This window comes from Homo sapiens, chromosome 16 (assembly GCF_000001405.40).
Source record: "Homo sapiens chromosome 16, GRCh38.p14 Primary Assembly".
NCBI lineage: Eukaryota > Metazoa > Chordata > Mammalia > Primates > Hominidae > Homo > Homo sapiens.
Genome location: NC_000016.10, coordinates 76,916,195 through 76,928,423, shown reverse-complemented (window position 1 = coordinate 76,928,423; position 12,229 = coordinate 76,916,195). Strand labels below are relative to the sequence as shown.

The window sequence follows — 12,229 nt, the reverse complement described above, 5'->3', positions numbered from 1 at the left end:
AAAAGTAACATCTAGGCCATTACGTTCGGGGAGCAATTATGAATGTTTAAGTGTGGAGTCCACACAGAGGAAGCATGGATTTATTTTTAAATCAGCTTAATTGTTGCCAATAAAACAAAGGGAGGGGAGAAGACATTTATCTTCCACGCACAGAGTAATTCTAGTGTTCTATGCCACTCTTCATGAAGCAAACAATTCTAGCTTCTTATTAGTTCCAGAGAAACTACCCAACCCCCCTACAGAACTACACAGTCACAGAGTGAAGAAAGCTGATAGTATTGGTGATATCCTAGGTGATATCATCATCCAATTGGTCTGGGCAAACTTCATCATGGGAAATGGAGGGAAATGGAGAAATTTCAGTTATTGAGAAAAAGCATAAGGAAATGGACCTATTTAACAGTGTTGAAGGTATTTCCAGGCTTGTCTTTGTCTCCGGATCCTGTTTTTTCTCTGTTTATGTAGTATTATTGCAGAAACTGGAGGACGTGGAAACCAGTGACTTAATTTGCTTCATATAATGCAGTTCTGTAAAGAGTTTATAAAAACTTTAAATTCAATTTTTTTTATATAAAATAGAATGTGGAAATAGAAACGGGTAGGGGAAGCAAAAGAAAACTCAGATGACAGAAAATAAGCTAGGAGTCAAAAGGAGAGGAGAAGAGACAATAAAAAGATGATTCACAAAAGAAGATATAACATTTAAACTTAATCATGAAAAATCCAATACATTCAAATTAACATACTATTCATAATTTTACTAACATTTATTTAGAGCTTAGCTAATATCTAACACCATTCTGTGACTTCCTATGGATTCATTCAGTGAGTACCAACTATGGCCCTCTGAGGTAACTGCAGTTATTATTCTTATTGCCAATATTTAATAAAGGAAGGTAATACACCTGGTTGGAGAGAGCATGGTGCATTTGTAATTGATAATGGAAAGTAGAACAAATATTTTGGAAAGCACTTTGCTAACAGGCCCAGAGGAACTTAAGAATGATTGACCCACTAATTTCCAATTAAATCAACTCGCCTAAGGAAGCAATCTTGTATATAACAAAGTTTCCATAATTTGAAAATGTTTAAATTAACACACCATAACAGCAAGTCAGAATGTTATGCAGGCTTAAAAAAATGGCGTTTAAGAATAGTGCAAGTTGTGAAAATGAGTACGGTAGGATAACTGAAAATGGGAAATACATATAATTATAGAAAAAAAAAAGCAGAAAAGAAATACAGCAGGGTATTTTTTCCCACATAGTTAAATATAGTGAATTGTAAGCCTTTCAGAATTGCTATAATTTCTACCATTAAACAAAGAAAAATTAGGTGGTATAGACTGAACGCCTGAGTGGCCTCTATTCCCCCATATGCAAACCTTTCCCTAATTCTGTCCCACATTTATTCTGGACTTACGTAACTTGCTTTAGCCAATGGATCACAAGCAGTTTGAAAGCAAGCAGCAGTATGAAAAATGTTAGTGCATTTCTGTGCTCTTGTATGTTTATCTGGGTTCACCAGGAGAATACTCCATGATAGAGAGGTGTCAAAGAAATGTGGAGCATTCCTTTATCCCAGCCAAGGCCATCCTAGATCTGCTAGCTTCCAGCCAACAATGCAGCTAACACAGACACCAGACACATGAGCAAACTCATCAGGCAAGCCTGGCTCAGATCAGCAGAACTGCCAGCTGACTCCCAGCCACATGGAAATTAACAAATGACTGTTATTTATGCCACTAAGACAACGTAGGGTCTTTTGTTATGTAGAAATAAGTAACTTATATAGGAAGGAATTGCATTTCAGTGCTTTACTGAGTAGCAAATCCAGGTTTAGAAGCATTCCTCAACAAATATGTATACGAGATATTCCATTATTAATTTTTTTTAAAAAAACTATCCCTTTATATGTTGCAAGGTAATCTGGCTTTATATCCTCTATTGATCGGCTACCTTTACTATCTTTTTCTAACCACTGTATTTATGATTCTTTTCAAGGCACCCTCAGCTTTCTCTAATAACCTGGGCTGAATGTTATCTAGTGAGCTTCATGAAATTCTCCTTGGTCCCTAAACCCTTAAAATTCATAAGGAGAGCTGATTCTACTTAGCCTTTGCCCTGCTTGCTACTATGTGTTATGAGCTGACTGTGTTTACTTTTCATCTGAAGAGCAGTGGGACTTTGGCCACACAGACTCTGGGTGCTTCTTCTCTAACTTGAGCCATCACTCTGTGACCCACTGTCACACTCCAGTGAGCTGATATCTGCATTTCGGGCAAATCTTGCTCCCATAACTGACATTCTCCTTGACCTCCCATTACTGCCCCTGCCCATCTGTTTGCCTTTCCACCCTCCCTGGGTCTCGAGCTCCATTCTACCCTCTCTCATGCTAGTCCCTAAAGGGCCCTCACTCTAGTTTCTGCCTCACGTTCTTTACTTCCATTTGACTTCCACAGTCTTAGTCAACCACCCACTCCAATATTCCATACCATATCATGCAATTATCTGCCACACACTTACAAAGTATTCATGAGATAGGCAGTTTTATGGGGTTTGTGTATGAGCCTGAAGAGTGAGTATTTCCTGATTAAAAAAAAAAAGCAAAAATTCCAAACCTGATTTGAGCAGAAATAGAGGCATAAGCACACAATTTGGAAGCAATATATTAGTACTGGTCAAATCAAAGACATTTATAAAATTCTACTTTCATCTTTCATCTCCATTTTTCACCTTTCCCTTCACATTCACCGTGTGTGTGTGTGTGTGTGTGTGTGTGTGTGTGTGTGTGTGTGTGTGTGTAAGTGTGTGTTTCTGTTTGTGGTGGGAGGCTACTCTGATTGCAAGACAGAGAACCAATTATCGTGTTGCATCGTAGAGTGTGCGAAGCTACCTGGTCTTGGGCTGAGACGGATGTGCTGGTTGAAGCAAGGTCATTTACAGAGGTGGCGGCAGTGAGAAGTATATATCATGAAGCCTAATCAGCTATGGCAATAATTAATCATTGCCTAGTTACGTGAAGAGAGAATGGGGTCATCAAGGACATCTAGGTGTGTTGAAGGAAGCACACTGGTGTTTTGTTTGTTTGTTTGTTTGTTTGTTTTTACTGAGGAGTTGAGCAACAGTGATCCATCCTCCTAGGTCTGCCATCTGAGTTTCCATAAGCTAGCTTGTGCTGCTGGGTCTATGAGCTATTTTTTTTTTTTTTTAAGATAGGTCAATTTGCTTCTACTTGGAGGAAAAAATTGCCCAAGTCAAATAAATTCCCTCAATGGCCCTCTTCAGAGCAAGCCCATTAGGTGCCCTGGGTCTAAGGGTGAATAAAGCTCATTATGACCTTTCCAAAATTCCCTTTTATAGTTGAATAACTGTGGTTCTTACCACTTCATCAAGAAGCAGGGAATTTCCAAACGGTCCAGATTGTTCCCTTTAGATCAATTAACTCAATGGATTATGTACATGTGTGCACGCAGACACATCCTAAGCCAAATTGACTCCGTGAGAGTGTGGTTTGGCCTTATCTCACAGAATTTTATTTGCCTATGGATAGATGACTGCTTTCATGTGGACTTTTTGTGCTTGGTGTATCCCCAGTGCTTTGGAAAAATGTTAGAAAGTATCTCACGACGGAGAACTATTGCTTCTAGTGTTAACACAGTATCCATCTTGCCCACAGTTCTCAAAAGTTAGTTATTAAATTAAGTGAGAAGTAGAAATGTCATATATGACCATCTTAGGTGAGCAGGTGCACAAATTAAGATAACTTTAAAAAATATGCATGATAGTTGTATGAACAGGATATACTGCTCTAGTTCTCCAAGGGCGGTCTCCAGGTAGTAGCATCAGAATGACCAAGGAACTTTTGAAAAATGCACGTTCCCAGTTCCCAGTCCTACCCACAGAACCAAAAGCCCTGGGAGCAGGGCCCCACAAACTGGTTTTACAAGCTCTTCTGTGATGCACACTCAAGTTTGAATCTTCCTAATTTGAGTGATTAGAATCTCTTTGTAACACAGTTGCAAAATTATTTACTCTAATATTAAGTTTCTTCACTTTTCCAAACGAATGGAGAATGTGTAATTGACTAAAACTGTATTAAAAATGTAAAAAAAAAATAGTCCCAATTCCTCAAAAATACATGTGATTATCTCAACAGGCACAGAAAGGCCTTTGTTAAAATTTAAAATCCCTTCATGTTAAAAACCCTCAAACTAGGCATTGAGGGAACATACTTCAAAATATTAAGAGCCATCTATTACAAACCCACAGCCAACATCATACTGAATGGACAAAAACTGGGATCATTCTCCTTTGAAACTGGCACAAGACAAGGGTGTCCTCTACCACCACTCCTATTCAGTATAATATTGGAAGTTAAGGTCAGAGCAATCAGGCAAGAGAAAGAAATAAAAGGCCTCCCAACAGGAAGAGAGAAAGTCAAACTCTCCCTATTTGCAGATTATATGATTCTGTATCTAGAAAACCCAAAAGCTCTTTAAGCTAATAAACAACTTCAGCAAAGTTTCAGAATGCAAAATTAATGTGCAAAAATCTCTAGCATTCCTATACACCAACAACAGCCAAGCTGAGAGCCAAATCAGGAATGCAATCTCATTCCAATTGCCACAAAAATATAATACCTAGGAATACAGCTAACCAGAAGGGTGAAGGATCTCTATGATGAGAATTACAAAACACTGCTCAAAGAAAAAAAGAGATGACACAAACAAATGGAAAAACATTCCACGCTCGTGGATAGCAATAATACCATTAAATTGGCCATACTGACCTAAGAAATTTACAGATTCAATGCTATTCCTATCAAACTACCAATAACATTCTTCACAGAACTAGAAAAAACTATTTTAAAATTCATATGGAACCAAAAAACAGCCCCAATAGCCAAAGCAATCCTAAGCAAAAAGGAGAAAGCTGGAGTCATCATGTTACCCAACTCTAAACTATACTGCAGGGCTACAGTAACCAAAACTATATGGTACTGGGACAAAAACAGAAACATAGACCAATGGAACAGAATAGAGAGCCCCAAAATAAAGCCATACAACTATGACCATATGATCTTCAACAAAGCTGGCAAAAACAAAGCAATGGGGAAATGATTCCCTATTCAACAAATGGTCCTGGGATAACTGGCTACCCATAGGCAGATTAGATCCTTTTCCTTACACCATATACAAAATCAACTCAAGATGAATTAACTGTGAAACGACTTAACTGCGAAAACAAACTATAAATTACTTAACTGTGAAAACAGAAATGACTTAACTGTGAAAACAAACTATAAAAATCCTAGATGATAACCTAGGAAATACCATTCTGGACAGAGGAACCAGCAAAGATTTCATGATGAAGGTGCCAAAAGCAACTTCAACAAAAGCAAGAATGGGCAAATGGGATTGAATTAAACTTAGGAGCTTCTATACGGCAAAATAAACTACCAACAGAATAAACAAACAACCTATAGGAGAAACTATTTTCAAACTATGCATGTGGCAAAGGTCTAATAGCCAGAATCTATAAGGAACTTTAACAAATTTACAAGCAAAAAACAAATGACCCCATAAAAAAGTGGGCAACAGACATAAACAGGCACTTTTCAAAAGACATACATGCAGCCAATAAGCATATGGAAAAAATGCTGTACATTACTAATTATTAGAGAAATGCAAATCAAAACCACAATGAGATACCATATCACACCTGTCAGAATGGGTGGTATTAAAAATAACAGATGATGGTGAGGTTGCAGAGAAAGGGGAATGCTTATATACTGCTGGTGGGAGTGCAAATTAGTTTGGCCATTGTGGAAAGCAGTGTGGTGGTTCCAGGAAGAACTAAAAACAGCATTATTATTCAACCCAGCAAATTCATTATTGGGTATATACCCAAAGGAATATAAATTATTCTACCATAAAGACACATACATGTGTACGTTCATTGCAGCTCTATTCACAATAGCAAAGACATGGAATCAACCTAAATGCCCATCAATGGTAGACTAGATTAAAAAAACGTGGTGCATAAACGTCATGGAATACTATGCAGCCATAAAAAGAATGAGATAATGTGCTTTGCAGCAACATGGCTGGAGCTGGAGACCATTATCCTTAGCAAACTAATGCAGGAACAGAAAACCAAATACCACATGTTGTCACTTATAAATGGGTGTTAAATGATGAGAACACATGGACACATAGAGGGGAACAATATATACTGGGGCCTACGATAGGGTGGAAAGTGAAAGAAGGGTAAGCATCAGAGAAAATACCTGTCGAGTACTATGCTTAGCACCTGGGTGATGAAATAATGTATACAACAAACCCCTATGACAGAAGTTCATGTATATAACAAACCTGCAGGGGGGAAAAAGCTTATAGATATTTTTAAAAACTGTCCCAATTCCCAAATCCCATTATCCATAACTTATTTAAGTATATGAAGGTGCTTAACATCTCAACAAAATTTACAACGAGTTTTATAAGATACATTGGGTCAACTGGAAATATTTCCAATTGGTTTAGATTGCTTATTAGATAATGTTATGAAACTACTGTTAAACTAATTTGTGATATAGCATTGCAGATGCAGAGATGTGCTGGAGCACACTTAAATGAAAGCATTATTACTATAAATACACTCAAGTCAGATTACATGCAAAGTTGTGAACTTTAAACATGATATCAACACGTTAATGGCTTTGAGACATAATAATTAAATTATTCCAAGTAAGTAATATAAATCAGAGTAAAAACTTCAAGATTCTGAAGTTTAAGAATGTCACTTAAAAATTTAATATAAATAAAAGTATTACTAATATTCAGGTTTTAAGTACATGCCTAAGAACAATAATCATTAATGTTTATCTGTTAGATGTTATTCTGCATGTCATGTCAGAATTTGTGCCTTTTTTTATCTCTAGGACATATATTTGTTGCACCCCTGGCTGGACACATGGTGAAAGTGTTATACAGAGAGATAATTAACTTGTTAAAAATCTTTTAGCCAATAAGTGGTCCCATCAGGATTTATGATAAATTATCTAAACAATAAACATTTACCCTAAATATTTTTTAGTTATAGCTATGATTTGAGATTTCAGAATCAAATTTCTACGGAACAGATTCTTTCCATCTAATATGCATCTTGAAAAAGGGGCTCATCAGAAACAGCTGCACCTTTGGTTTAAATGCAGTACTGTTGCCAAGAGTAATTTTGGACACACGAAAATAAGCATATACATATAGCTTACTTAATTGGGGTTGGTGGTAGGGGTGGGATTCCAGGGAACAAGCAAAACAAGTCCTTAGGAATATGTAGTCTATAACATTCCTGGGGAACAGACAGATGTCAAGGCCCATAATCTGGAGAAAATTATCATCAGCAAAATGCTACCATTTTTGTAAAGGGACACAAGGTCAAATAGAAAACACTAAGAGGCTGGACGTAGTGGCTCACGCCTGTAATCCCAGCACTTTGGGAGGCCAAGGTAGGAGAATCACCTAAGGTCAGGAGTTTAAGACTAGCCTGGCCAACATGGCGAAACCCTGTCTCTACTAAAAATACAAAAAATTAGCTGAGCTAGGGAGACTGAGACAGCAGAATTGCTTAAACCTGGGACGTGGAGGTTGCAGTGAGCCGAGATTGCACCACTACACTCCAGGCTGTAATAGAACGAGACCTCATTTCAAAAAAAAAAAAAAAAATACTAAGAATGAAATCTAAAGCCTTTACCATGGCCTCCAAGGCCCTACAACAGCTGGCCCCTTCCTATCTCCTGGACTCCTTTTTAATCTCTGTCCCTCTATCTGCCCAGCTCCTATCAACTCCCAGGCAGACAATGCACCTGCATTAGGGCCTTTGCACATGCTCTTCCCTCTAGATGCCCACAGATTTTCTACTTCACTTACGCATCTGCTCAGCTCTAATCCCTCAGAAAGTCCTTCACTGGTGACAGAAACTAGACCAGCATCCCTACGTTTCTTTATTCTTCACCCTGCTTTAGTTCTTTTCCATGTTCATCTCACTACCTCACACTGTGTGACATGTTTAGCTGACCATGTGTTGTGTTTTTCTTCCATTAGAATATGTTACATGAGAATAGGGACTTGTCTTTATTTTCCTCTTTATCAAGAAAAGTGAAGTGATGAACATAAATATTTGTTGAATGAATGCACAGACTAAGTCAATCAACCTATGAATGAATGTTGCTTATGTGGTGTGGACACTTCACTGGCCCTCCTCTCAATGGTCAGAAAACCAGGAGTCCAGAGCAAAGTCTGGGTTCATTTTCTTGTCTTCCAAATATGTTCCTTTTTCTTGGTCGGCAAGCTGCCACCCTCTCAAACATCTGCAGCCTTCAACCTTGGAGTAGCATTCCCCTCTCTTTCTCCTTCACTCCATTTATAAAGTCCCACCAATTCTGCTTCTTAAAGTAGCACCTCATCTTTATTCCCACTGCTGTGGGTACCTTTCAGCTACTGTATTTGTCTATTGCTCAGCTTCCTGTTTCTCTAACAGATTGAATTTGTTAGATTAAATGTCAATTAGTTAATTAACAGGCAAGGTAAATTATCCAAAAATAATTGCTTGCAGGGAGACTTTGCTCCAATAAATAGGTAGTTATTTTCTCTGTAATTTGCTACGTGTAGCAGAAAAATTTTCTGTCAGTGAAGACAAAGGGAAATAAAATGAATCATATATTTCTTAATTAGTCAATAAAAGGAAGTGTTCCATTTTATAAATAAACTTTTTCTGGTGCTAAATTACAAAAATCCTTACATGAGGGTGATCAAACTACACCATAGACAATGTTTTGTACAAGAGCTTTAACAGAAAGGGCAAAAGCATGTTCATATGGCTGCTTCCTTAACCTTCTGCAGCCAAGCCTCATATACGGCATTTGTTTAGAATAAATAGGAGAATGGGTTCCAATAAACAAATATGCTTGTACAATATATCAAGAGGGCAACTTAGATGAAATAATCATTCTCAAAGTATGAATCTTTTTATCCAACTAATACTTGCACATATGATGACTGTCATGGGTTGAATAGTATTCCCCCAAAAATGCATGTCTACCCACAACCTCAGAATGTGACATTGTTTGAAAATAGAGTCTTTGCAGATATAATTAGTTAAGATAAAGTGATACTCAGGTTGGGTCCTGGATTTGACATGACTGATGTCTTCATATGAAGAGGGAAATATGGGGACACACACACACACACTCTCACACACAGAATGCTATTGTGAAGACAGAGGCAAAGATTGGAGTGATGCAGCTACAAGCCAAGGAACACCAAGGTTTGCTGGCAACCACTAGAAATTAGAGGAGAAGCATGGGACAGGTTCTCTGTCAGAAGCTTTAAAAAAGAACTAACCTGCTAACCAACCAGGATTTTACAGTCCAGCCTCCAGAACCGTGAAAAAATGAATTTCTTTTGTTTTAAGTCATACAGCTTGTGATCATTTATTGTGGCAGCCCTCACAAATGAATACAATAACAAAGCAAAAAAATTCAGAGGACTTATAAGAAGAACTAACTCCCCCCTTTCTAGGTCCCCAGCCAATATAATCTTTATCACTGTTTCTAGTTATTCTAAATAATACACAGTCATTCTAAACAATATGCTTTCTAGTATACTTGGGGCAGCCAACTAGGTAAGATTAAACAATTAGCACTCCTATCCTTTCCTCTACATCTCCTCTCCTCTTTTGTGGTTGATAATATTTCGAAATTGACAATATTCGTATCTTATTCTGTAACCCTAATTTGCTTTTCGTGCTTTGTCTATTAGCAGATTCTAGACATTATAAATCAACAAATATTATTTACACAGTTAATACTATGTAAATATTGTTTAAGACAAGCTAAAATGTTTGTATTTATTTTTCATCTCAAAGAATCCAATTTCTGACTCTTGCACCATTTACAATAGAGTGCTCCTAAGATCTAGATCAAAGAGATTCTCTTTTCACCAGTTTTTAAAATTCTTAATATATTTTGTTGGTTTTATATGGACAATGTTGTACTGAGGTAGGAGGTGGAATTTGACTGCAGATGCAGGCTTGACTCTGGAGGTGGAGCTCAGACACTGGACCAAATTGAGGACTAGCTAAAACATAGACAAGGTTGAAGCACCTTGCCATGAGACATGCCCACCAGTGTGCCATGCCAGTTTGCCATTGTCATGGCAACACCCGAAGTTACTGCCCCTTTCCATGCCCCTTTCCATGACTCAATAACCCGGAAGTTACCAACCCTTTCCTAGAAATTTCTGCATAATCATCTCTTAATTTGCATATAATTAAAAGTGAGTATAAATACAACTGAAGAACTGCCTCTGAGCTGCCACCCTGGCCACACTGCCTATGCAGTCACTCTGCTTTGCAAGGAATGGTATCTCTGCTGCTGCTGTACACCATCGCTTCAATAAATGTTGCTGTCTAACACCAGCGACTTGCCTTTGAATTCTTTCCTGGGTGAAGTCAAGAATCCTCAGGGCTAAGCTCCAATTCTGAGGCTTGCCTGCCCTGCATCATTACTTATCTAATTTTTTTCCAGAAATTCTAATTGACCTTTTGTTTCTGAAGACAAGCAAATACATACCTTATTTGCAAAAGCACTCTGATCCCTCCATTTTTCGCTCCTGCCATCTATTGAACACAGTACATTCCATTGTTCTCAAACTCACTCTTTTTACTGTCCTCTGCTTTCCTGTTTGTTTATATTTAGGTGGATGTCTTCTTGGAATCTCCGTTTAGCAACACCCCAGACTAGCTTCACTCTTTCTTATGATAGCCTTGTCTTGTGTGTGTGTGTCTTAGGGTGGGTAGAGAGAAGTCAATTTTCTGAGTCCTTGTGTGTCTGAAAATATCTTTGTCTATCACACTTTGTCAGCTGGGTATGGCATTCTATGATGAAAACAATTTTGCTTGAGAACATTAAAGAATGAATTCTGGTGTCTTTTAATAGCCAGCCAGCGCTGATAATCGTGAGTCTGACGCAACTGATTCTCATTTCCTTGTAGGTGTCTTCATTTTCCTTTAACAACTTTTTTTTAGCATCTTCTCTTTTGCTCTGAACTATGACAAGATTGTGTGAATGCAGGGATTTTTTTTTCATACTTAGTAGGCCCTTTTGATCTGAATATTAATGTCTCTTTTCAGCCTAATAAATTTTTCCGTGTTAATTTTTATTACCTTTACATCCTCATTGTCTTCAGTCTATCTTTCTAGAAATTCTATTAGTGGAAATAGGAACCATTTGAAATCATTTTCTGTTTCTCTTATCTTTTCTCTCATATTATCTTGTTCTCTTTCAGTTTTACATACTGAGAGTCATCCTTTGCTTTGTATAGAGTTTTTTTAAATTGATATTTGTTCATTTTTTTTAGATGACATGTTTAATTTGCAAGAATTATTTTTTTTGTCAGTTATAATCCCCTGGGGTTTTAATTTTCTAGTGAAATAACTTAAGTGGTTCAAATGATCTAATTAATTAATTATAACAACCTTCCAGGATTATCACTAATAAGCCATAAAACATTCCTAAACTGTATACTACAGAAGTCTTGTAGTGTACAGCTAATAGGTACCTCTATGTAAAAGCGTTTGGAGCTTAAATAAGCTTCAGAAAGAGCTGCATGTTGTCTACCACTCTTGATGACTTAGCTGCTGCGTAAAGGTTCCAAGAAGTGCTACTCTAAAAAAAACTAGTTAAATTTGTTTAATTCAATATTTTTAATATTTAATTGTGAAACTTCTTCCTGCATATTTTTTTGTCATCTTCCATGGCATATCTGTTTTGGGCATGTGAGATCCAAGTCAACTAGCATGACCCCTCACCATGAGAAGCTGCACAAAACTGTCTGAGCCCCACACCTCAAGAGTCGAGTCTGCCTCTGGAGTCAAATTCCCCCTCCTATCTCAGTACAACATTGTCCATATGTAAAGCCAACCAAATATTATGAATTTTAAAAACTGGTGAAATGAAAAGAGAATCTCTTTGATCTAGATCTTAGGAGCACTCTATCGTAAATGGTGCAAGAGTCAGAAGCTGTACAAATATATGTATGTGTATGTATGTGTATATATATGTATACACACATACATATATATACACACACACACACACACACATATATATATATATATGTATATATATATATATACATATATATATATATATGGCTAGATGTTCCTGA

General features: G+C 37.3%; 1 pseudogene; it reads left to right on the top strand.

Annotated features, from left to right (window-relative positions):
* Nucleotides 1–338: 338 nt before the first annotated feature.
* The window catches only part of LOC100128497 (mitotic spindle assembly checkpoint protein MAD2A-like), a 50,279-nt pseudogene continuing 38,388 nt past the window's right edge, over nucleotides 339–12,229 (top strand).